The 25,568-nt window shown below is 41.4% G+C and overlaps 1 protein-coding gene and 1 long non-coding RNA gene across 25 annotated transcripts in view, besides 6 other annotated features; one reads left to right on the top strand and one right to left on the bottom strand.

Moving 5' to 3' along the window:
* Positions 1-25,568, top strand: part of FBXL13 (F-box and leucine rich repeat protein 13) — a 263,608-nt gene that overhangs the window by 76,772 nt on the left and 161,268 nt on the right. For 3 of the 21 annotated variants that reach the window (XM_047420045.1, NM_001438453.1, XM_006715898.4), the window contains exon 1: positions 24,704-24,875. The exons of the other annotated variants lie outside the window; for them this stretch is intronic. In XM_047420045.1, coding sequence (XP_047276001.1) covers positions 24,834-24,875 — 42 coding nt within the window. In that variant the 5' untranslated portion in view covers positions 24,704-24,833. Of the gene's footprint in view, positions 1-24,703; positions 24,876-25,568 lie in introns of those variants that run through there. 21 annotated transcript variants of the gene reach the window in all.
* Positions 5,310-6,509: an enhancer, noted in NCBI's record as "P300/CBP strongly-dependent group 1 enhancer chr7:102631963-102633162 (GRCh37/hg19 assembly coordinates)". NCBI's record gives its function as "activates an origin of replication core promoter dependent on BRD2, BRD4, P300/CBP, MED14 and CDK7 cofactors, with strong dependence on P300/CBP, by STARR-seq in HCT116 cells {active_cell/tissue: HCT116}" and the evidence as "EXISTENCE:reporter gene assay evidence [ECO:0000049][PMID:35650434]".
* Positions 5,989-6,283: an enhancer, noted in NCBI's record as "tiled region #11249; HepG2 Activating DNase matched - State 9:DNaseU, and K562 Activating DNase unmatched - State 5:Enh". NCBI's record gives its function as "activates a minimal TATA promoter and a strong SV40 promoter by Sharpr-MPRA in HepG2 and K562 cells {active_cell/tissue: HepG2 | K562}" and the evidence as "EXISTENCE:reporter gene assay evidence [ECO:0000049][PMID:27701403]".
* On the bottom strand, positions 9,172-24,595 carry NFE4 (nuclear factor, erythroid 4). Of its 4 annotated transcripts, NR_166511.1 has the most exons (5): positions 24,254-24,595; positions 19,505-19,644; positions 11,739-11,914; positions 9,793-9,992; positions 9,172-9,650 (listed from the first exon to the last, which is right to left on the bottom strand). It is a non-coding gene; the product is annotated as a nuclear factor, erythroid 4 (long non-coding RNA). The 4 variants fall into 4 exon arrangements; NR_166510.1 differs by lacking the exon at positions 11,739-11,914; NR_166512.1 differs by lacking the exons at positions 11,739-11,914; positions 19,505-19,644.
* Positions 21,322-21,483: a silencer, noted in NCBI's record as "fragment chr7:102616989-102617150 (GRCh37/hg19 assembly coordinates)". NCBI's record gives its function as "represses an EF-1alpha promoter that drives an FKBP-Casp9 reporter gene in an ReSE screen in K562 erythroleukemia cells {active_cell/tissue: K562}" and the evidence as "EXISTENCE:reporter gene assay evidence [ECO:0000049][PMID:32094911]".
* Positions 23,875-25,074: an enhancer, noted in NCBI's record as "MED14-independent group 3 enhancer chr7:102613398-102614597 (GRCh37/hg19 assembly coordinates)". NCBI's record gives its function as "activates an origin of replication core promoter dependent on BRD2, BRD4, P300/CBP and CDK7 cofactors, and independent of MED14, by STARR-seq in HCT116 cells {active_cell/tissue: HCT116}" and the evidence as "EXISTENCE:reporter gene assay evidence [ECO:0000049][PMID:35650434]".
* Positions 23,904-24,417: an enhancer, noted in NCBI's record as "H3K27ac-H3K4me1 hESC enhancer chr7:102614055-102614568 (GRCh37/hg19 assembly coordinates)". NCBI's record gives its function as "activates a minimal SCP1, AML or CMV promoter by ChIP-STARR-seq in naive H9 embryonic stem cells {active_cell/tissue: H9 hESC(naive)}" and the evidence as "EXISTENCE:reporter gene assay evidence [ECO:0000049][PMID:30033119]".
* Positions 24,054-24,224: a silencer, noted in NCBI's record as "fragment chr7:102614248-102614418 (GRCh37/hg19 assembly coordinates)". NCBI's record gives its function as "represses an EF-1alpha promoter that drives an FKBP-Casp9 reporter gene in an ReSE screen in phorbol 12-myristate 13-acetate-treated (for megakaryocytic differentiation) K562 erythroleukemia cells {active_cell/tissue: K562(+PMA)}" and the evidence as "EXISTENCE:reporter gene assay evidence [ECO:0000049][PMID:32094911]".

The following is a 25,568-nucleotide window of genomic DNA, read 5'->3' as shown; positions in this document are numbered from 1 at the left end:
GGAATGTAAATTAGTACAGTGATATGGAAGACAATGTGGAGGTTCCTAACAACTGAAAATAGAATTGCCATATGATCCAGCAATCTCACTGCTGAGTATAAATCCAAAAGAAAGGAAATCAGCATACCAAAGATATCTCACTCCCATGTTTATTGCAGCACTATTTACAATGACCAAGAGTATCTGTCACTGTAAGTGTTCATCAACAGATGAATGGATAAAGAAAATGTGGTATACGTACCCAATGGAATATGATTAGGCATAAAAAAGAAGGAAATTCTGTCATTTGCAGCAATATGGATGGAACTGAAGGTCATTATGTTAAGTGAAATAAGCCAGGCACAGAAAGACAAATATCACATGTTCTCACTCATTGTGGGAACTAAAAAAGTGGATCTCATGGAGGTAGAGGATATATTGGTGGTTACCAGAGTCTGGGAAAGGTAGGGAGTATGGGGGGATAGAGAGTGGTTAGTTAATGGGAACAAAAATACAGTTAGATAGAAGGAATAAGAGTTAGTGTTTGATAGTACAGTTGGGTGACTGTAGTTAACAATAATTTATTGTATATTTTAAAATAGCTGGAAGAGAAGAACTGGAGTCTTCCCATAAAAAGATAAATGTTGGAGGTGATTAATATCCCAGTTACCCTGATTTGATCATTACACATTGTATGCATATATTAAAATATCACGTGTACCCTCAAAATATGTACAACTATTATGTATCCATTTTAAAAGAGAAATTACTTCATGGTGTTCTAATCCAATGTTAAGAAAGATGGTGCAGATCTATAATAAAAGCATGAATGTTTTCCGCGGTCATTCATTTTGTGTCTGAAAGTAAAATCTCTAAGCAGTTATTGATGAATAGACATAAATGGCAAGCTTTCAATAACTATAAAAATATTCTAGTGCTGGTTGGAACAGAAGAATAAAGGGATAAGGTTTTGGAAAATCTTAAGGCTTCACGTTTTTTATGAACACATCATCTTTCTTTTTATGGATCTCTCGGTCTAGTAATTCTCAAATATATCAGTGAGCACTGTCTTCAACTATCAATATAATAAAATATAACCAATGGTAAGACTTAAAGAAATAAGGGCTATTTGTTTCATATTACACAATGTGCAGAGAAAAGCAGTCCAAGGCCAGTCATCCACAATACCAATAAAAATGAAGTCTTTCTATCTTGTTAGTCCACAGTCCTTAGGATCTTCTTGCTTGTCTTATGATTGCAATATGTCTACTCCACCTCCAGCCTCATGTTCTTTTACCAGGCCAGAGAGGGGAAAAAGCACAGTGGTAAAGGCAAGATGTTTGTTGATTTGTTTATGAGGAAATCCAAAGTTTCCCCAAATTCCCACAGTCAGGAATTTCATTGATGTGTTTTAGGTTAGAACTTTGTCACAAGGCCTTGTTAAACTGCTGGGGAGGAGAGGACTTTGGGTGGAGTTTGAGTGAGTTAATCAGTATAGTCTGTCTCACTGAATGTGGATTTGAACTACCAGTCATCAGTATCTAAAAGGGCATTTTTCCTTGCCAGAAAAGATGTTGTTTAGGTTGCAGTAAAAAGGCAAAACAACAACAAAGGAACAATCACAGCAGATAAGAAGTAAGCAAGTGTTTAATAAGTCATTATATCAGTGCTGCAAATGAACTCTGGTCTAATGCTCTTTCCTATCCCAGACCCCTGTGGTGAACAATTCAGAGAACAAAAAAGCCAACTACTGAAGAACCACAGCACCCACAGTCTAGCAAATCATTTCATAATGGGATCCAGGGCCTAGAAAAGCTTGTATATGGAAACAGCAACCATTATGACAAACTATGAACTTACATATTTTCTCAACAGCAATCTTTTAGTTTGACAATATATTGATTAAAAGTCCAGGCTCAGGACTCAGGGAGAACTGGGTTTAAATCCAGTCTCAACTGTTTACTAGCAATATGACCTTGAGCAATTTCAGCCCTCTTGGCCTTTGATCTTTAAAACTACCTCACCCCCATTTTCCCACCAAACCCTAAACTAATAGCAAAGAGTTTGGAATAATCTAAGTTTTAGGTTCACTTTGGGAAAACCATTTCAGAATATGGGAAATGTGTAGAATAATTGGGGAATGTTGCTCAGGACAGTAGAAATCATTGCCAGTTTTTGCATTTTAAAGATTACTTTCTGTATGGTGTTATGGTTTATGACTATGCCTTTATTTATTTATTTATTTATTTATTTATTTATTTAGACAGAGTCTTGCTCTGTCACCAGGCTGGAGTGCAGTGGCGCCATCTCAGCTCACTGCAACCTCCACGTCCCGGGATCAAGCGATTCTCCTGCCTCAGACTCCCAAGTAGCTGGAACTACAGGTGCACACCACCACGCCTGGCTAATTTTTGTATTCTTAGTAGAGACAGTGTTTCACCATGTTGGCCAGGTTGGTCTCAATTTCTTGACCTTGTGATCCGTCTGCCTCCGCCTCCCAAAGTGCTGGGATTACAGGCGTGAGCCACTGTGCCCGGCCTATTTTTTTTTTTTTTTTTTTTTTTTTTGAGATGGAGTCTCGCTGTCATCCAGGCTGGAGTGCAGTGGTGCGATCTCAGCTCACTGCAAGCTCCGCCTCCCGAGTTCACGCCATTCTCCTGCCTCAGCCTCCCGAGTAGTTGGGACTACAGGCACCCACCACCACGCCCAGCTAATTTTTTGTATTTTTAGTAGAGATGGGGTTTCACCATGTTAGCCATAATGGTCTCGATCTCCTGACCTCGTGATCTGCCCGCCTTGGCCTCCCAAAGTGCTGGGATTACAGGCGTGGGCCACCGTGCCTGGCTGACTATGCTTTTAATGCCTTCTCTCACCCCAGCTTCCCCCATGCTCATGGGAAATAAAGTAGAGCCCTTTGGGGCCCAGATTTATAAAGTCTACCAGAGTGCTCAAACCATAGCATGATCAAGCTAGAAGACAGCTTAGAGATGTTTGTGCTAAGCTTTTACCTTTTACAAGAGGGACAGCTGTGGATCTGAGAAATTTTATGTGCGAATCTGAAAGAGCCAATCTCTCAAGATGAGTTTTGAGTACCTAACTGGGCTGAAATTTAAAATAGAGTCAGGTGGCCATTTGCTGACTAGAGCTCACACACATACTCTGAGTTCCCAGAAAACCTACACATCTGCTTAACTTTGGGGTTGTCATAGCTAACAGTTTCTGTCCACGTGGCCTGAACCAACCAATAGAGTGTAGCCTGCACTGACCAATCAGAAGCCAGCAGCATTGACCAATCAGAACTCTGCAAGTGTCAACCAATCAGAACTAAGCCAGTTTGAATTCTGTATTTGCATAAGAGGACCTGAGTGGAAAGCTGGGTGGGAATTTTAACTATAAAAGCGAAACCCTCCTTTTTTCTTTAATGTATCTTTTGTTTCCACTGAAGGGTTTGTCTTCCCCGTTTGGAAACTGTTCACTGGAATAAAGTCTCTCTTCTCGAAATTCCTTTTCAGATAACTTTTTTCACATCCCCAAAGTCAGACAACTACAAAACTGAGGGCAGGACCTGGTTTTTCTGTGTCCTTGGCTAAGCTTATAGCCTCTATATCTTTTTTTTTTCCTCTTGGAGAATTCTAAAGAAATAGAATATATATTAATATTTCATGAGACAAAAAGCAATAATTAAGAATATTATACATCTGTTTAGTTGTCCTGTCCTTAAAAAAACAAGGGTAACTTTTTTAAAGTTACTAAATCTTGATATGACAGAAAAAAAAGCCAGTATTATTTTTATAGATATCCTCAAAATTTCCCCAAATAATGTGCAGAATGTTCATTAAAAATGCACAAGTAATAAGAGTAGATTTATATAATAGCATATAAACATATAAGTTAATTATTCTAAGACTAATATCTTGAATGGTTGGGTTTGTTATGCTTATTAATGTATAATAGATTTGCAAAGTTAATTTTTTAAATCATACTTTTTAAATGGCATTTAATCTGGTTCACTAACTCAGGGACTTGAGAAGGAAAGGTGTGAAAACAAAAATGTGATGTGAATTTGGTCTGAACCTTATTTAAAATGGTTAGAAGTGTTAGTTTTTTAAATAAATTGAGGTTTTTTATATACAGGCTGTTTAATGTTTTGAAGGAATAATTGAAACCAGCAATTTGGATTGGGATACAATTTGAACTTTCTTAGAATACACATAACAAACTGTAGTCTTGCATTTTAGGTTCAGTTACATCAACTCATGAAAACAAGTCAGGTTCTGTTTTGCAACCATTTTTCTTAGTATCATTTACCCGTTAGGAAATGCTGCTTAGTTAGCAGATGGTAGGGCTCATACACTATCAGTCAAACTGTTGGCCAAACTTAGAGCTAGTGGGAGGGTTGGCAAAGACTGTTTTCCGTGAAAATACAAGTTTGGTTTTTTTTTTTCCTTCTGTGTAGTTTGGCAAGCAACACAGAGAAAAGCCTTATGCTGATGAATTTGGAAACTCTAAAATAGTTAAGTAATGCAGTTTCTTAAAATGTAAAATTACTTGATTAGTTTAATAATGTAAGTGTTGCTTTAGGGTTGTCTTCATTTTAAACAACTATGACTTCTTGTTTGTAAAAGATATATGTCATGTGGACTTGCAAACGGTTATAAAATCACCTTCAGATTTTACTGTGTTGATGACTCATTTTCTCACTTGGGGAAGAAAAGAAACATGGATAGCTATTAAAACTAGTACCATGTTGTAAAAGAGCCAGATGGTTCAGGCCTGTTTGATTAAATTACTTAGAATTACTTGTAAAACAAAAGAATATTCCCAGTGACTTTTCAGATCTATGTTTTGATAACCTCAGGGGTCAGTCTGACCTCATTTCACCAATGCAGACAGTGGTTCCAGGTTTCATAGCTGTGTACTGTGTGAACTTCAGATAAGGAAAGGTTCCACAACCACATTGCTCTATCAAGGAAGTATGTGGATATTGGCTCAAGTTGTGGTGTGGGTGAAAAAGCAAATGAAACAAAACATCTAGAAGTCACTTTGGGAACAGTTGATTTTTGGTGGAACATTGCTCTACCCATAGACCTCACTTTCATCACTTTAGTCTTAATCGCTGTCTCTGTTAAAGTGTTTACAGGCTGGGCGTGGTGGCTCATGCCTGTAATCCCAGCACTTTTGGAGGCACAGGCAGGTGGATCGCTGGGGTCCAGAAGTTCCAGAGAAACCTGAGCAACATGGCAAAACTGTGTCTCTATGAAAAATACAAAAATTAGCCAGATGTGCTGGCGTATGTCTTGTAGTCCCAGCTACTCGATGGGCTGAGGTGGGAGGATTGCTTAAGTCTGGAGAGGTTGAGGCTGCAGTGAGCTGTGACTGTGCCACTGTACTCCAGCCTGGGTGACAGAGTGAGACCCCATCCCCCTCCCAAAAAGGGAAAAAGTTTACAAGTGATTTTGATCTAAAGTTTTCATGACTTTTAAATTGCAGAAGCAGTTCTATTAATTTTAGCAGGACCACCCTTGCAAAATGATCTAGCATATGAAAGACAAAAAACTATACCCCAGTAAGAGGCAGCCACATGGAAATGGGGAGAATGTGCCCTGGAGTCTGGGTGGCCGCTTCTGTCACTAGCTGTGTGACAGCTGTGGCTGGGCATGCTGCTTAATGTTTCTGTTTCTAAATTGTCTCATTTGTAAAAAGGAGATGATAGAGAATTTAAGTTGACAGTAACAAGATGTGTTTGGAAAGGTGGGTTGGGTCTGCGTTGTTGAGGCCTTGAGTATCCACTTAGGAGATGGGTTTTAACCAGTAGGCAGTGAGGGACCACTGCAAGCCAGTAACATGATGGCAGACTTATAAAGCTGTTCTTTTTCTCCCTTCACTGTTCTTCCCTCACCCTCCCCCTGCCTTGGGTGGGTCAAGGGGGTTGGATGAAGTCTGGAGGTAGACAGATTTCTCTAAGAGCATTAGGATAGTATCAGTGGGAAATTAAAAAAAAGGACCCATGTGAGAACCAAAGCATTAACAGAATTCTGGGACCCATAGTATCTGGAGTGAAAGAATGAGTGAGGAGGGTGATAGGGCAGCATTGAGACTGGGTGACTGGAGGGGTAGGAGGCTCAGAAGTAATGCAGTCAGGAGCAGAGCCAGCTTCTTTATTGATCTTACAGGCATGACTCACACTGCGCACCACTTATTCCTGACTCATGCTTCCTGTCTTGTTAAGTATTTTTCTTTCCATATCATACAATGTTCCATTGGAATGGTTGGTGGAACCTAATTTATTTTAGCAGTTTACCATCTGTTTCAGGTGGCTTGTGATTTGCATTGAAGCAATTTATCAATTAACTCAAGAGTCCGTGTTTTATGTTCCAAAGACAGCCCTCCTTTTATTGCACTACAAGGTAACATTAAACAGGAGAGAACTGCCAACTTGCTCTTTCCCATGCCTTCCCTGGTCCTATGATCTTAAATTTCTTTCTTTCTATTGATTTATTCCTTCATGTCTAAAAATGTGTTTGACTCACTCCTTTCCTATAAATCATTTCTCAATGCTGCTAAGTATTCTATTTTTCTCCTGTTATGTGTTGGCAGACTTCTTGACACTACCTCCCACCTGCCCACTGTGACACTCAAAAACTGCTTTAAACAGTCTCTACCTGGGTGTTCCAAAGGCACAAGCCAATTCATCATTACCAAAACAGAACTCATCATTTTCTTCCTCCAACCTTCCTTTTCCCCCATATCCTGTCCAACCCTGTCTCTTGTATCCTGTTTCTCAATGAATGGCACTATCATCTACTCAGCTGACTTGGCCAGAATTTGGAAATATCTTTGACTTCTCTCTTTTACCCCCTACTGCATATTTTTTTCTTTTTAGCATGTAATTTCACTTTCTTTCTTCTCTCCATTCTCTCTGGCACTCATTGTCTATTAGTGACATTACTATCAAATTCAAAGCTACTGAATTTGTCTTCTGGCATCTACTCTTGACTGTTGACTTTGACCACCTGACTTATTTTTCATTTGTCCACCAGAGTTGTCTTTCTCAGATCACATTTATTCATGTCACTTCCTGGTTAAAATCTCTCCTGAACTCTGTTGGCTTTAACATGCTGCATGAGGATTTCCAGTTCTAGCCTCCACTACCTCTCAGCTGCATTCTCCATCATTGCTCCAGACGAGCCCTTGGCTGTAGCCATGTGGAGTTACTCCATGTTACCCAAGTTCAAGGCACCCTCTCTGGCCATATGCCTTCACCCATCACGTGCTCTCTTTGTAGGCTCTCTCCTCTTCTTCCTTGCCCTACTCAGTCCTGCTTAGGCTCAGCTCAGATGTCATCTCTTCCAGAAAGGCTACCTTTGATCCTCTGTCCTCTCTCTCAGTCTTGGTTAGTTACCCTTCCTCTCTGTTCCCAGAGTCCCTCTTGAGATACTTTTTACTCTCTTATAATGGCCTATTTTGTGTTTTCTTCTTGGACTATATGTGCCTTGAGGACAGGGACAGTGTCTTACCTGCTTTGAATTCACAATCTGTAGATGCCCAATAAATATTGGTTGAATGATCGAATGAAAAATGATGTTTTCTTTTCAGCTCCACTATTACAAACTTGGTCTCATCAAGGTCCCAGGAATTTCTTAATCATCAAATCTGATTGCCTATGATCCCTTCTTGTCTTGCTTTTTCAGTAGCACTTGATTCTGGGCTTCTGTGGCATGACATTTCCTGTTTCTTTTCTCTGGGAATTATTTCTCTATCCTCAGGATAGGTTTCTTGCTCTCTCCTCACACCCAGATGTTGGCTCTGGTCTGACTGTACCTCCAGATGTTGGCTTTGGCTCTCTCTCTTTGCCCTACATTCTTACTAGGTCATGGCAGTCACAGCTAGGCTTTCACCCACCACTCTCTGGTGTCGGCATTGCTTTGGAATCATGATAAGGACATTTCCAATTTACCTATTATTTGGAAACTTTAACCTTTTAAATCTTGATGAATGTGAAGCCAGTGCTACTTATGATGTGCAGTAATGTCGGGAGAGTCAACTGGTTTTGGGGAAAGAGAAACTTAATTTTGGATTCAGTGAATTTGAAATGTCAATGAGACATTAAGTTAGAAGGTCCTAGAAGTATCTGAAAAGTAAGAGTCACTGAATTCTACATATACAGCAATTTTAGAGTTATGTGATCCAACCTCTTTTACAGGAAAATATTCCTCACAGATGTTCTTGAGGTTTTAGAGGGCACCCTCTTCCGTATCTGAGTTTGGAACCAATTGAGAAATAGAGAGATGGAAGTGGACATATTTTCTGATACAGCTGATAGGAGACTATGACTTAAGATCACTGACAAAGGATACTACTTCATTCTTTCATCCCTGAATCAGATAGACTCGCCCCTCGGTCACTGCACAGCTGAACAACTGCAGGCCTCCCTATGCTGCTGAGAGCAGACCAGGATGCATGCATCTTGCATTCAGGTCAAGGCAGGGTGGAGCAGGAGCTGAATTGCAAGCCTAGTTCTTTCTCCCAAACACTCCTCCTCTTCTCCTGGGAAGATATGAGGGGTAGAGAGAGAGAGGCCCAGAGTGTTTCTAAAGTGTTTCTAGATAGAGATGTGAGGCCAAGGCAATGAAACGTCTCCATTAGCAGTAATGTTTATCCAGCATTTGGTCTAGTACTTTCTGTGCTGGAGAGTCTGTTGACTTTGCGATGCATTCTGTTCTGTCTTGGGAAAGATCAGATAATTAGAAAGTTGTCCTTCAGATCAAAGCAGAGAAAGCGGCCTCATTATCTTTTGTTTCTAGTTCCTTCTTCTGCATTCACAAGGAAGATCAAATTTGTCAATTATTCATGCAAAGCTTTCATTTTATTTTCTAGTGCTTTTGTGGTTACTTGTTTCCAGTTTACTCAATTGTTTGTTCCTCTGTGAGTTTCTAGTCTCAGCCCTCCCTGTCCCCATCCCTGCTACTCCCTTGGCTGCTGTCTTCTAAGAATTCTGTTTGTAGCTTCCTCATAAAGTGGGCTGGGCCACGTTTTCTCCCTCATTCTGAGTGGTCTCACCTTCTGAAGGGCAAGGAGCTCTCCAGGTTATAGCTTGCCTGGATCTCTTCATACCCTTATACTGAGCTCCCTCATTATTGTGTCTGGGGTTTCTCTTTAAGTAGCAATGTGAGAGAAAACTACACAAGATAATGTGAATATGTAACCACATGATTTATTACTTAACACAGTCAGATCAGAATCAGTGGGATAAGCAGCCTAGGGTGTCCCTTGAGCACCCAGGTTCAAGTTAATCCTTTTACATGGAAAGCGCTTTCTTCTGCGTAGAGATACCCAGGTCATTTAAGACTCTACACCAGTTTTGGTTCTGCATGATGAAGGAGTTCTTTGCCTGAGCAGTAGGGAGTAGAGAATGCTCTGTGCTGAGACTCCTAAGTCCCCACTGTGTTCTTGGCTACATTCATCCTTGGGGTTAAAAGAGTGTATACCGTTCTACATTTCTGCCCTCCCACTTTGTTTTGTTTTTCTTTTTCCCTTCAATATGGCTGATCTGTTTGGGTTTTTCCAAATTTTCTAATTTATCTTCTATTTTCATTACCATTTTTGCTGCTGCTCTGCATCTGCTATACAACGGCTTCCTTCTCCAATTAGTTCTTCATACTCAGCAGTGTCTGGAGGTGGAAAAAAATATTCCAAGTGTTATCTGATTAGTGCAGCATCCAGTGCAAGTATCATCCCCGCCCCTTAAAGTGGACATTCCTGAGCATATCTTTACCCTTCATTGAAGCAGTGCTAGCTAGACTGACCACTGACCTGCAATAGCTTCTTCAGCATTAATTCTCTCTGGAAACTCATCCTCAGTGACAGTACTCCCACTTGGTTTTCTGTTCACCTTTTTGATCACTTCTTTTAGGATTCCTTTAGGATAACATATCCCCATTGCCTTCTTGTATCATGGTGTTTGTAAGGACTCTGTCATTGTTTCTCTGTTCTTCTCATTCCATCTTCACTCCCTGGGTGATTTCAAATACATGCTTTAGGTTATAGTTATATGCTGTTTACTCACGATTGCCAAATCTGTGTATCTCCAGCCATCACTCTCTTGTAAGACCCAGGTCATTTAACAATGCCTGCTGGGTAACTCCACTGGAATATTTCATAGCATCTACCCCCTAGCGTGTTCAGCTTGAAGCCGTTACTTCCCCACCTCTCTTATGGGACTACTCCCCACCCCTCTGTATTCCTGGGCTTTCTTGGTAAATGGTGTCATCACTTGTCATCCAAATTAGAATTGTGGGAATCATCCTGGACTTCTCCTTTTAAAAAAAATTCTCCACGTCCCATTAGTGATTAGTGTATGATACCCACTCAAGATGCGTTTTCATTTAGGAATAAATATAAAGTGGGATTTCACATTATTTCAAGTTTTGCCATATAGTGAGGCTTATGTTTTTATTTCACTATTTTAAATCCACCAAATTCAAATTCGTATAAAATGCATCCACACTACCCTAAGAACTGTGCTTGGATTTTTGCTATTAGTTATCTCATGTAATCCTCCCCATATCTTTGTGAGGTATGTTTTTTTTTTCTGTTTTGCTAATGAAATAAATGATGCTTGGGGAATTAGGTTAAATCACAGTGGTAGGGTTGAGTTTGGCCTACTGTATAAGCCCTTTTTACTTCATAGAGAGTGTGAATTATACTCCCTAATATATGTGGGATTTTTATTTACAATTTTTAAATTTCAATAACTTTAGGTGTACAAGTGGTTTCTGGTTATATGGATGAATTATATACTGGTGAAATCTGAAATTTTAGGGTACCTGTCACCTGAATAGTGTACATAGTATACTATTTTTTTATTCCTCACTCCTCTCTCGCCCTCTCCCTTTCAGAGTCTCCAGTGTCTATTATACCACTCTGTATACCTTTGAATACCCATAGCTTAGCTCCCACTTACAAGTGAGAACATACAGTATTTGGTTTTCCCTTCCTGAGTTATTTCACTTAGAATAATGGCCTCCAGTTCCATCCAAATTGCTGCAAAATACATTTTTTTTTTATGGCTTAGTATTCTATGGTGTGTGTATGTATGTGTATATGTGTGTGTGTGTGTGTGTGTGTATCACATTTTCTTTATCTACTCATTAATTGATGGGCACTTAGTTTGGTCCATATCTTTGCAATTGTGAATTATGGTGTGATAAACAGAAATGAAGCTAAATAGTTACAACCAACTGATCTCTGACAAAGCATACAAAAAAAATACTCCCTAGTACTTGGATGAAAATAAATGTTATATTTATTCCTTTACAATCGGCCCATCTGCTGCATGTCCCCACCCATTTAACCAGTAAATTAAATCTCAATCATCACATTCAATTCTAATATCCTTCTTCCCCTGCTGCTTGGTTGTGCAAGAGTCTTAGAGGTGTCTCACAGCCAAGCACCCATGAAGAGAACTGGACTTCAGTCCACATCCACACGGGCGGCTGTGGCTGTGCTCACTGCCTAAATCGACACAGTCCCTTGAAGGCGGGAGACTCCATGATTTCTGAGCCCAGCTTGGGCACAGGGACCATGGCCTCAAGGCAGATCTTTTGATCGTCAGTTGCCATGGCTTTCTGATGGTGCCCATTAGAGGGCCTGCCACATTTTAGGAAGGTCTACATGGGAATGTGGCACAAATATCTGTCATGAGCCTCCATTCCTTCCCGAAGTCTCAGCAACTTTCCAACCTCCCCATCCCCACACACCAGCAACATTTTTCATAGATTGGTCCAATTTCTCTCTTGAAGGCTAGGTATTTTGTGGGGCTGGTTTGGCTTCTGATGGTTGTCAACTTCTGCTTTTGGCTCTGCCATGTAAATGCCATGAAAGGACTCAAATATTAGCACATAAACCTTAATGTCTTCCCATTTCTTCTGGCATCCTAAATAAAGAGGACAGGCAAAAATGAATGTTTCAATAGATTATTTGGAAAGTGCTATGATGTCTCCTACTAAATGTATTGATGGGGGGGGGGCATCGTGCCAGGTTCCAGGGATGTGGGGTGTGGATTACTGAGTATCTCCCATGCATTCTAGGCACTGTTCACACATGCTCAACATGTGTTATCTTGTTCATACTCACCCATTTTATGAGTGAGTATGCCCATTTTATGAGACAAAGACTTGGGTCATAGCAATGTAGTGGTGAAATTAGCATTTGAGATTGGGTTTGTTTGAATCTAAATGTTGTTTTTCCCCCATTACATGATAATGCCCATCCTTGAGCTTGTGTTGAACCAAAACTCTGAGGTCTTTATGTGAACTGCTGACTGGATGTTCTGCCTTATGTCACTGCTAATCTCAACCTTAGCATAACAGTTTCTGTTATTCCTGTTCAATTTCATCTTGTTGATTTTGGTTCTGATTCCAATATTCAGTGAGTCAGCTATGTCTTCCAGCTCTATGGAATTCACTGATTTCATAAACATGAATATAGCCTTATCTATGTAGAAAAAAAGTATTGAACACAAATCCCATCTACTCCCCCTTTCTGGGGATCTTCCTGCTGCCCCTGAGTTGTAACATGCCTCTGTGGGTTGTTGGTTAGTTATCTATCCACAGTTTGTACCTTCCCACAATATCTTTTATTGTGTGGAATGTGGAATGGTTTGTTTGCTGGTTGGAAGCTCACTCAGGAGCATAGCCACCAGGGTGGTGTGGGTTCTGGATAGTGTGAAGTGCAGACTGTCACATAGCTGGATGTGCTAGGACATGGTCTACAGAGAATTTGACTGTAGTCCAGGGGTTCCACCAGATGCATGCTGGCCAGGTGGTGAGCATGAAAGAATTCTAAACTGGTGGGAATCCTGCAGATAGGTACAACACAGTGGTGTGGGTATGAAGCCATCAACACATGGTGATCTTAGTGACAGGCAGGTGATCAGAGACTGGGTGATCAGGTGTCAGGAATGAAGGTCTGTCTTCAGGGATAAAGGAGAGAGAGACCAGCACAAGCAATGCAGGACCCCAATCAAGGGTAGGGTTGCCAGAACTAGCAAATAAAAATAAAGGATGCCCAGTTAAATTTGAATTTAAGATAAAGTTGTTATTTTTTGGTGTAAGTATGTCCTGTGCAATATGTGGCATATAATAATACAAAAAATTTATTTGTTCTTTATCAGAAATACAAATTTAATTGGGCATCCTTTATTTAAGGCAGCAACCCTAACCCAGATAGAACTAGAAAATGGTATGCAGTTAGATTCCCGCATCTTTAAGATAATAATTGGCACATAGCAGGGTTCTTCTAATAATTAAAATAAAATTCCTAGCACACAGAAGTGCACAACAAATATAAATCTCCTTTCTATCTCCATACAATTGTTATCTTCTTTCCCTTCTTATTGAAAGTACGGCATTAAAAAAATATCAATTAAGTAGTTATAATAAATAAAACATCATATAAGCCCCAAGAATGAATGAACTGCCTTTGATCTGGGACATCAATCTTCTCTTGCCTTTGGACTCAGATTTGTACTGGAACTATACCACCAGCTCTCTGGGGTCTCCAGTTTGCCAACAGAAGGTCTTGGACTTCTTGGCCTTCATTATTGCATAAGCCAATTCCTTTAAGTAATTATCTTTCTCTCTCAATATATATCTAATGGATGGATGGATGGATAGATAGGTAGATAAATAGATAGGTAGATAGTTATATATATCTTCTTGGTTCTTTTTCTCTGGAGAACCCAGACTAATACAGATTTTGGTACCAAGGGTGGTTCTATAGGAACAGAATTTTAAGGATGAGTTTTTAGAATTGGTTTTTAGGTTCCTAGAATTGGCTTTTTAATGTGATCAGATTTAAAGATGCAAATGACTCTTTTTTCAGTGCTAAAAAGAGCACTGATGTTTCACGGTGTTATCTGGCAATAGAGATATGCCAAATATCTCCATTGGATGTTCCCAATCAACCACTTATAAGAAGCAAGGAGCTGATCATTGTGCATATGATACTCTCAAACATTTCTGGAAATCACATGAATATAATTAGGTTGGCTTGTTGCTCCTAATGTCACGAACAAAGTATTGAAAGAAAAGAAGGAGCTCAGGAATTCAAATTTCCAGCTCAAGTACTGCATAAATGACTGAAAGCTTCCACATGTGCCCTGAGGGAGAGTCTTATCTCCTTTAGCCACAGGGCTGAGATTCCTGAAAATCAAATGCAGAATCTCATCCTGTGACCCAGTTTTACAGTTATCTTATCTCATCCGGTGACCCACTTTTATACTCTGTTAAAGTGAAGGCGTTGACTGGGAAAGAATGGGTTTCTTGCTGGGTGCGGTGGCTCATGCCTGTAATCCTAGCACTTTGGGAGGCCAAAGCAGGCAGATCACTTGAGGTCAGGAGTTTAAGACCAGCCCCGGCCGACATGGTGAAACCCCGTCTCTACTAAAAATACAAAAATTAACTGGGCATTGTGGTAGGCACTTATAAAACCAGCTACTCCAGAGGCTGAGGCAAGAGAATTGCTTGAACCTGGGAAGTGGGGTTTTCTGTGAGCTGATATCACACCACTGCACTCCAGCCTGGGTGACAGAACGAGACCCCACTCAAAAAAAAAAAAAAAAGGGGAAAAAAGAAAACCAGAATGGGTTTCTATAAGTTGGAATGGGGACTTGTGGGAAGACCTTGATGAAACTGAGGACATTGAGCCTCTAACTTCTGGTGAGTCTTCTTTGCTAGTGGAAGAGGCAATCCTACTGCTAGTGGAAGTGGCCTCCGCACTCCCAGTGCTAGTGGCTTCTCCACCTCAGAAGGTGGTTAATGCTACACTGCATGAGGAAATTGTAATGGCCTCCACTGAGGCAGTTGCCAAGCAAGACAATATTGATTTTTCTTAGAACTCACCCCTACCACCCCTCTTTGCTTCTAGTCTCATAATTAGACTCAAGTCCCAGCAGGCCTTTGAAGGTGTGGGACAAAATGTGACCCATGAGAAAGTGCACTACACTCCAAAAAAAACTACTTGAGTTTTCTAACTTATACAGACTGAAATCTGAAAAATATGTGGAAATGGATAATGAGGGTATGGGATAATGGTAGAAAGAAGATAAAGTTGGAAGACGCTGAGTTTATTCACATGAGTTCTCTAAATAGAGATTCTGCATTTATATTTTGGCACAAGGAGTTAGAAAGGGCTCTAAAGCTTGTATTAGTCTGTTCTCATGCTGCTAATAAAGACATACCCAAGACTGGGTGGGTAATTTATAAAGGAAAGAAGTTTAATGGACTCACAGTTACACATGGCTGGGGAGGCCTCACAATCATGGTTGCAAATGAAAGAATAGCAAAGGGACATCTTACATGGTGGCAGGCAAGAGAGCTTGTGCAGAGGAACTTCCATTTATAAAACTTCACAGCAAAAGAAATGCCTCAATGGGTCCATGCTCCTGGAATTCACTGGTTTTTACAGTGAACACAGTTACACTGTAGTTTTTACCACTACTCTGAAGTAGCTGGTTTGACAGAATGGTGAAGTGGCCTTTGGAAGACTCAATTCCAGTGCCAACGATGGGAGAGTACCTTGCAAGGCTGGGGCAAAGTTCTCTAGGAATCTGTATATACTCTGAATCACAGTCCAATATATGATACTCTTCCTTCCATAGTCAAGATTCTTGGGTCCAGGAATCAAGGGTTGGAAATGGGAGTGGCACACTCACTATTACCCCTAGTAACCTACTAGCAAAAATTTTGCTTTCTGTTTCCATAAGCTTATGCTGCTAACCTAGAGGTTTTGGTTCAAAAAGGAGGAATGTTTACACCAGGACGCACAATGATAGTTCTATCGAACTAAAAGTTAAGACTGCCACCCAACCACTATGAACTCCTCATGCCCCTGAATCAACAAGCGAAGAAGGGAATTACTGTGTTGGGTGGAGTAATTGACCCTAACTATCAAGGAGAAGTGGGACTGCTACTCCACAGTGGAGGAAAAAGAAGAGTGTATCTATATGTGCCCGGGATCCAGTGTTTGAATGCTGGGCTGTAACCCAGCATTGACCTCGTGATCTGCCCCCCTCAGCCTCACAGAGTGCTGGGATTACAGACCCATTTGGACCTGTATAGTCAAAATAATATTTTGGCTTTTAATGGAATTTGGGAAACATAGTTGCTATAGACTGAATGTTTATGTCCCGCAAAACTCAGACGTTGAACCTAATCCCCAATATGATGGTATTTGCAGGTGACGTCTTTGGAAATGATTAAGCCATGAGGGCAAAGCCCTCATGAATGGGATTAGTGCCCTTATAAAAGGGATCCCAGATTCTCCTTGGTCCTACTGCCATGTGTGGACACAGTGAAATGACTGTGTATAAACCAGGAAGTGGGCTCTCACCAGACACTGAATCTGCTGGAGACTTTATCTTAGGCCTCCAGCCACTAGCACTGTGAGAAATAAAATCCTCTTGTTTATAAGTTACTCAGTCTATAGTACTCAGTTTTAGCAGCTCAAATGGACTAAGACAATAGGAGAATGCTCTTTAGGATACTATCTTCTAGAGAAAGTATGTCTTCTTTGAGAACAAGTCTGTGGGATGAGAGACTGGCCTGTGTGCAATGTCAGAAAAAGAGGTGGGTAAGGGGGGGAAAGGTGTGCAGGCAATGGGAGATGGGTACATACAGGGGAATAGATCAAATAAGTAAAAATTTTAGGAAATTCGGAGCCAGATTTCTTGGACTAGAAAGTATTTACCAGTATAAAAAGGAAGAACATTAAAATGGACCCTTTTAAACAAGTCATTTGTTCTTTCTCTGTATGCTCAGAAAATTGATTCTATATTTCTACTACTTTTCTGTGCTGCCACTTTTCTTTTCTAGTTGCTTTTACCTCTCTGAACATAGGACTAATTACAATAGTTCCTCTGTCTTCAAAAATATCCTACAAGTACAGTAGGTACAAAACTACAAGTACAGCTTTCAGGCCACCTGATCCAACATAATACCTTTCCAAGGCTTGTTGGCCATTTCAACAACTCATTTAATTGCTGGCATTTTTCTTGCCCTCCCAGTACATACAGGCAAAAAGTGAAGTCTTTACTTTCTTTATCATGTTCTTTGACACACAAGGTTTTCATTTTGATGAACTCTTATTTATTTTTTCCTTTGTTTCTCATGCTTTTGGTGTCATATTCTTTGTTAAACGCAGGGTCATGAAGATTTATTTATCCCTATTTTTTTGATAAGAGTTTATGGTTTTAGCTCTTTTTTTTTTTGAGATGGAGTCTCGCTCTGTCGCCCAGGCTGGAGTGCAGTGGCACGATCTCAGCTCACTGCAAGCTCTGGCTCCCAGGTTCACACCATTCTCCTGACTCAGCCTCCTGAGTAGCTGGGACTGCAGGTGCCCACCACCACACCCGGCTAATTCTTTGTATTTTTAGTAGACCTGGGGTTTCACCATGTTAGCCAAGATGGTCTCAATCTCCTGACCTCGTGATTCGCCTGCCTCAGCCTCGCAAAGTGCTGGGATTACAGGCGTAAGCCACCGCACCCGGCTGGTTTTAGCTCTTATATTTAGGTCATTTATCTCATTTTGACTTCATTTTGCTATATGGTGTAAGGTAGAGGGTCCAAACTCATTCTTTTACATTTGGATACCCAGTTGTCCCAGTCCCATTTATTTAAAAGACTTTTTTCCCCCCATTGAATGTTTTGCCACACTTGTTGAAAATCACTTGGCCATGATGTATGGATTTATTTCTGGTCTCTCAGCTCTATTCCATTGGTCTATATGTCTATCCTGTACCTTGATATTTTGATTACTATATCTTTGTAGTAAGTTTTCAAATCAGGAAATGTGAGTCCTCCAACTTTGTTCTTTTTCAAAATTGTTTTGGCTACTTGTGACTCCTTGCACTTACTGCAAATTTGAGGGTCAGATTTTTCATTTTTGCAAAAAAAGCCTTTGAAATTTTTATAGGGATTACATTGAATCTATAGATCACTTTAGATAGTATTGACATCTTAGTATTTTTATTGTTTGTAGGGTCTGTTCTTTGGATATTTGATAGAATGGTCTTATAAAACTCTTGGCCCATGTTTGTTTGGTGTTTATTCAGAGGCAGATTTTAAATTCTGATTCAATTTCTGTTATCATTGTTATGTCTTCCAATCCATGAACATGGGATGTCTTTCCATTTGTTTAGGCCTTTTTACATTTTTTTACAGCAATGTTTTGTAATTTTCAGTATGCTAGTCTTTCACCTTTTTAGTTAAATTAGTTAAATTTATTCCTAAGTATTTTTATTAAAAAGTGAGATTATTCAATAAAATATTTCAGGCATGCAAAGAAATTTAATGAGCAACTGTACACTCACCACCCAGTTTAAGAAATAAAACATAACATACAATTAAAGCCTCCATGACTGCATTCTCTTTTCTCCCTCAGAGGTATTTGCTGTCTTAAATTTAGTGTTTATTATTCCCTCATATAGTATGGTAGGTAGAACATTACCCCACCCCCTACAAAGATGTCCATATCCCAGTCCTCAGAACCTGTGAGTATGTTACCTTACGTGACAAAAGAGTCTTCTCAGATTTGATTAAATCAAGAATTTTGAAATGGGGAGATTATCCTGGATTATCTGGGTGGATCTAATAAAATCACAAAGGTATTTATAAGTAAAAGAGAGAGGCAAGACTTCTTAGAATGCATCTCTCCAAGGGCCAGGTAAGCCCTAGCATCTCCAGCTTTTATGACCTAGACATGTCTCCAAGGTCCTGGGACCCATTTCTTCTTGAAATGTAAATTAGGGATCTTCCTGACACCTTGGAATCTTGACTAATCCAGGCTGTGACCATTTGACTTTCTTGGGGAGGTAAGAGAAGTTTTATTATTCTTTTGGATCAGAGCAATTAACTGTTTGTCAGACAAATAACTATTTGTCTACGAATAACTACAGATCTAATTTCAATAGTAGGTGGAAAGTAAAATGTTTGTAAAGTAAGTGAAGGGTAAAATTACCTATCTTTATATCATGTAGATTTCCATGCCTCTGGAGGCTAGTGCTTTTTACAGGAGCACTGAGAAATCGAAGACTTATTTCCTTGCATTGATCTATCAAGTATTGAGATCGTTTTGATATTATCTTTCATTATGATTGTGGATTTGTCAGATTCTCCTTGTCACTTTGTGGCTTTGTTATTAGATGCTTGCATAGTTAGGATTGCTATAATCTCTAGTGAATTGCTACCTTTAATTATTATGTAGTCACCCTCTTTGTGAGATAAACTTTAAAAATCCAACTAAAATACAATACAAAACTGAAGGATTCTTGTATCAGTTCAAACCCCGAGAGTGTGCCAACAGACAACACGAGGCAGTGTGGAGCAACACGCTGTTTTAATGAGTACCTGGGTGCAGGCAGGCTGAGGCCTAAAATGGCGTCAGCACCAAATGAGTAGGGGGCAGGGGTTTTATAGTCTCCTGTAAACAGGAAATGTCCCAGTCTGATGTAACTGCTATGTGGTACCTGGATGGCCTCTTTCTCAATCTTCAGGGGTACGTGTCTCCCAGTCAGAGTAGGTGTCTTCTGGCCGGCTCTCTTCCTGCTTCTGCTATCTTGCTGACTCACACTGCTGGCACAAGTGGCCTTGCGCCTTGGGACTGGGCCTGAGAAGGGAGGAGTTATTCATTCCTTCAAGCTTTCAGGCCCTGGGGAGAATCCTTCATTCCTTTCTATTTGGTTATAGAAAAAAGGGAAAAAGGGTGACTTTCTCAATAACTACTTTAGGCATGACATAGGGGGTGGCGTGGGCACCTTGGAAAAAGAAAACCTTAATTTTTTTGGTATTCTTGAGAGACAGGTTAGTATCCATCTTGTCATTGTAGCAGGAGCATTGTCTGGATTGTCTGGCAGTTAATTGTAGTTTCTTTTTCTTTTATTATTATACTTTAAGTTTTAGGGTACATGTGCACAACGTGCAGGTTAGTTACATATGTATACATGTGCCACATGTGCCATGTTGGTGTGCCGCACCCATTAATTCGTCATTTAACATTAGGTATATCTCCTAATGCTATCCGTCCCCTCTCCCCCCACCCCACAACAGGCCCCGGTGTGTGATGTTCCCCTTCCTGTGTCCATGTGTTCTCATTGTTCAATTCCCACCTATGAGTGAGAATATGCAGTGTTTGGTTTTTGTCCTTGCGATAGTTTGCTGAGAATGATGGTTTCCAGCTTCATCCATGTCCCTACAAAGGACATGAACTCATCATTTTTTATGGCTGCATAGTATTCCATGGTGCATATGTGCCACATTTTCTTAATCCAGTCTATCATTGTTGGACATTTGGGTTGGTTCCAAGTCTTTGCTATTGTGAATAGTGCCACAATAAACATAGTTAACTGTAGCTTCAACAAGAGTTTTAATGGCTTTTATTATCAGTGGGATAACACGGGAGAAAAAGGAGGAGCCCAATGATGAAGATTACTGTCCTTATCAGCATTTTAAATCCTTCTAAATTAGAGAAACATCCTCCTAGAAGGTTTGCCAGGTCCCATCCTTTCCAGGTTTGGACTGGTACATGGGCTACTTTTCTGATGTTTGAAGCGATTTCTAGAACTGCTTTTCCATTATTGTCTATGTTAAGACAACAATTGGAGACATTAAAGTTACCACAGACTCCACCCTCTTCTGCTAATAAGTAGTCTAGTGCTAGCCTGTTTTGATAAATTGCCACGCACATTTGTTTTTGTCGTTGTGCGAGCATTTCCAGGACGGAGGCGGTTTGGTTAGTGATTATCTCTAGAACAGCCTGTAGCCTTAATTATTCTATTTAGCATATATATGGGAGTGCGATAACCCCATGAACCATCCTCCGCCCAAGTGGCAGGACCATAATATTCGATGATCCATTGCAGGGGCCACTCGTCCTCTTGCCGTCTTTGGCTTCCTCCTACCTTTAAGGATCGTTTTTCTCTGTTTAAGTGATCATACACAGGGACTCCATGGGTGTTGGGGTTTTCCCATGTAAAGGCAAAGAGGTTTTGGGAATCAGGGTGTAATGGAATTGTGAAAAAAGCATCCTTTAGGTCTAGAACAGAAAAATGGGTGGTATTGGAGGGAACTGCAGAAAGTAAAGTATATGGGTTAGGAGCTACTGGACATACTGGGAGTACAGCTTGGTTAATAAGCCTGAGGTCCTGGACTAAGCGATAAGTTCCATCTGGTTTTTTAACAGGTAGAATTGGTGTGTTAAAAGGGGAGTATGTTGGGCGGAGTAGGTGACTGGCGAGGAGGTGAGAAATGATAGGCGTTAGGCCTGTGAGAGCTGCTTGGGGGATGGGATACTGCTTCTGTGATAGGAACTGGGTGGGCTCTTTAAGGGTAATGTGGACGGACGGGAGTGTGGTGTTTTGCGACTGAGGGTGTGGAATTACCCCAAACAGGGGGGCTAACTACAGATGGGGGATAAGGAAAGGTTGCATGTTTTAAGGTGGGAGGTTGGAATAGAAGAAAGAAGCCCCAGAGGGGTTTGGGTTGATGCGTTGGGTATTATGGGGAACGTGGAAGTGGAGAGCAGTGTGGAGTTTTGAAAGGATGCCTTGGAGCGGAGTTGGGCATGAGGGCAGGACTAAGAAAGAGTGAGTGAAGGAAAAGGTGTGCAGGGAGCAGAAAAGTGGAGCGGGGGGCTCAGGGTTTGGAGGCTTGTTCATCAATTTCCACAATAGAGACTTGGGAGGACTGGGTGGGTCCTGAAAAATTAGGGAAAGCAGAATAGGTTGCCCTGGTATTAATTTTAAAAACATACTGGCCTACCTGCCACCATCAGGGTTACCCTTGGCTCAGATGAAGCGATGGTAGTTGCTGGGGTGTCTGTTCCAAGGCACTATCAGTCTTCAGCGGCAAGGCTGACGAGATCCGAGTAGGAGGGTTTGATTGGCTCAGGAAGGGATGGGGGTGGTCCTTGCAGGGGCCGCTCACAGTCCAACTTCCAGTGGGGTCCTCCGCAGAGGGGGCATGGCCTCGTGGGTTTACCTGGGTTTGGGCATTGTGTGGGCCAGTGGCCTTCATTGCCGCACTTGAAGCAGGCACCAGGTGGAGGTGGATTGCTAGGAGGCTTCTGTGTGGAGCTGTGGCCCCATGGCCTGCAGGGCCCCTGATGGAGGAGGCAAGCATTTGAAACCCTGCCTGTTTTTGCCTTTTACTTTCCTCATCACGATTGTTAAAGACTTTGAAGGCTAAATTAAGAAAGTCTCGTTGTGGGGTTTGAGGGCTGTTGTCAAGTTTTTGAAGCTGGCGCTGAATATTGGGGGTGGATTGGGAGATGAACTGAAGGTTTAAAATATCGGTTCCTTCTGGACTGGCTAGGTCTAGGTTGGTATATTTTCTCATGGCTTCAGTTAAACGAGAGATAAAAAGGGCTGGGTTTTCGTTAGGACCTTGGGTGATTTCTGAAAGTTTTTCATAGTTTACCACTTTATGGGCAGCCTTTTTGAGTCCTGCAAGGAGGCACACAATCATGTGGTCTCGACAGCAGCGTCCAGAGGCCCCATCTTGATAATCCCAGTGGGGGTCCTGGTTGGGGACTGCCTTTGCACCAGTAGGCTGAGCAGGAGCTTGGTGATGAATTGTATCAGCATGTACCTGAGTTAGGGTCCAGATACAGCCCCAGTCTTCTGGGGTGAGGGTGGAAGAGAGGATAATGTAGAGGTCATGCCAAGTTAGTTCATAAGACTGGGTGAGGTACTGAAACTCTCTAATGTAAGAGGTAGGGTCTTCTGGAAATGAACTGAGTCTTTTGTTAATTTGAGAGAGATCACTGAGGGAGAGGGGAACATAAACTTTAACAATGCCTCCAGTTCCTGCTACTTTCTGAAGGGGGCTCTCTAGCACAGGGGCTGAACTAAGGGTGGGGCATGGGCCAAAGATGGTGCCTGAGCGAGTATGGGTGGGAGAGAAGGAAGAACCTGAAAGTGGTTCCTGCTGAGGGTTTGAAGGGGGAAGGAGGGTTAAGTTGATAGGCAGTGGAGGATAGATAGGGGCGTAAGGTGGTGGGATGGGTTTACAGGCTTCAGGAGAGGGCAGTGAGGAAGGAGAATGAGTAATGAGTACAGACAATGCTAGAATTGTCCTGAGGAGAGGACAGTGTAGGAAAAGAAGTGGATACTGCTGCTTGGGAAGATGGGGGCTGGGAAGATGGCGACTGGGAAGATGAAGGCTGAGAAGATCGCAGCTGAGAAGATAAAGAGGAGGCTTAGGGGGTTAAAGAAGACGGCTGAGAGGGAGAGGCAGGGGCTGAGAGGAATGGACAGCAGTCTGCTGGATCTAACGAGGAAAATATGTCGAGTTGGGAGGAGAAAGGTGATCTGGGTGGCGAGAATAGAGGAGGATTTGAACAGGTGAGCAAGAATTACAGAGGTCGGGTTGTGATCTGAGTGCAAACAGGGCTGGACATAAGGAGTTTTTCCCCATTTCTCCAGTCGTCAGCAATAATTGCTTAAATCAGTTAAAATTGTAAAGTCGAATGTTCTATTTGCGGGCCATTAGGACCCATTATTCAATTCGTATTGTGGCCAGTCTGAATTGCAAAAAAAGACAAGGAGGATGGATATCTTGCCTGAGGCCTAAGGTTTGCAGGTTTTTGTTTGTTTGTTTGTTTTACGGACTCTCACTCTGTCGCCCAGGCTGGAGTGCAGTGGTGTGATCTTGGCTCACTGCAAGCTCTGCCTCCCGGGTTCACACCATTCTCCTGCTTCAGCCTCCTGAGTAGCTGGGACTACAGGTGCCTGCCACCATGCCCGGCTAATTTTTTGTATTTTTAGTAGAGCCAGGGTTTCACCGTGTTAGCCAGGATAGTCTTGACCTCCTGACCTGGTGATCCGCCCACCTCACCCTCGCAAAGTGCTAGGATTACAGGCATGAGCCACCGCACCTGGCCAGGTTTACAGGTTTTTTATGAGGCAGCCTAGAGGGCTGTTTTTTGGAATTGAGGATGGGGAGTTTCCCATAACTGAGGGTAGGCTCGGGAAAACAGGGAAAAAGGAGACCATCCTGGATGGTGGAGGGAGACGATGAAAGGAGCGATCGTCACCGCTGCCTTTTTCGTTCCCGGAACGGGATCAAATGGCTTAGAGGCGTCCCCCTAAGACCAGATGATCAGCAAGTACCTGGCACACGTCGGAGCCTTCTTGGACCAATGTTGGATTTTCAGACTGGAGAAACCAAGAGAGGCTGTATGGATTTTTCCTTGTTAACCGGGCTCCCGGGAAACTTACCAGTAGGTGAGATCAGTGACTGATGTGCATGCACAGAGAAGCAACTGGAGGCTGAGGAGCTTCCTTTGTCCGGCTGCTGTGGCCTGCTTTCTGGGGCGGAGGGGTAGGTCCACGGGGGACGAAGACCGGAGCCCCTCCCGGGTTTCGGCACCAGATGAAAGATTCTTGTATCCGTTCAAACTCTTGAGAGTGTGCCAACAGACAACACGAGGCAGTGTGGAGCAACCTGCTGTTTTAATGAGCGCCTGGGTGCAGGCAGGCTAAGGCCTAAAATGGCGTCAGCACCAAATGAGTAGGGGGCAGGGTTTTATAGTCTTCCGTAAACAGGAATTGTCCCAGTCTGATGTAACTGCTATGTGGTACCCAGATGGCCTGTTTCTCGATCTTCAGGGGTACGTGTCTTCCGGCCAGGGTAGGTGTCTTCTGGCCGGCTCTCTTCCTGCTTCTGCTATCTTGCTGACTCACGCTGCTGGTACAAGTGGCCTTGTGCCTTGGGACTGGGCCTGAGAAGAGAGGAGTTACTCATTCCTTCAAGCTTTCGGGCGTTGGGGAGAATCTTTCAAAAACAAAATGAACACAAATGAAAGGAAGGCTGATAACCATCATTTTACTCGTTACTTCCGTAAGTCCAACATTTTAAAATTTCACATAGAAGTGAAATCATGGAGAATTTGTCTTTCCGTGCCTGAAAGTGTAGATTTTAAATGTTTTCTTCACACACAAAAATGATAATTATGTGAGGTGGTGATTTCTTAATTATTAACCTGATTTAATCATTCCACATTATAAACATAAATCAAAACATCACATTTTAACCATAAATGCATTTTAATTATTATTTGTCAATTAAAAATAAAACTAAGAAAAGAAAATAGATAGCTACATTAATATTGGGGGAAAAACATTAAAGCAAAAAGCATTTTTAGGAATAAAAAATTTTTGTCTTCTAACCAATACATTTTGTTAAATTTATTATGATTATTGATATACTTGGGTTCATTTTTCTAATTTCATTTTATACTATTTATTATCTTTTTATTTATTATTTATTATCTTTTTATATGTTTTATTTTTCCCCTTTCCTGACTTTATTGAATTTTTAAAAAATAAAAACGTTTAAAGTAATTTCAATAGCTTCTGGGATAGATGTGGTTTTTGGTTACATTGATGAATGGTATAGTGGTGAAGTCAGATTTTAGCGCACCCATTACCAAGTAGTGTACTATTTATTGAGTATTTAAATCTACCCCCTTTTTTCTACTTTCATGTTTTAGATGATATACATTCTATTTCTATGATTTTACTGGTTACTCTT

Source organism: Homo sapiens, chromosome 7 (genome assembly GCF_000001405.40).
Source record: "Homo sapiens chromosome 7, GRCh38.p14 Primary Assembly".
Lineage (NCBI taxonomy): Eukaryota > Metazoa > Chordata > Mammalia > Primates > Hominidae > Homo > Homo sapiens.
Note: the sequence above shows the minus strand (reverse complement) of the source record. Positions and strands in the feature narration are given on the sequence as shown.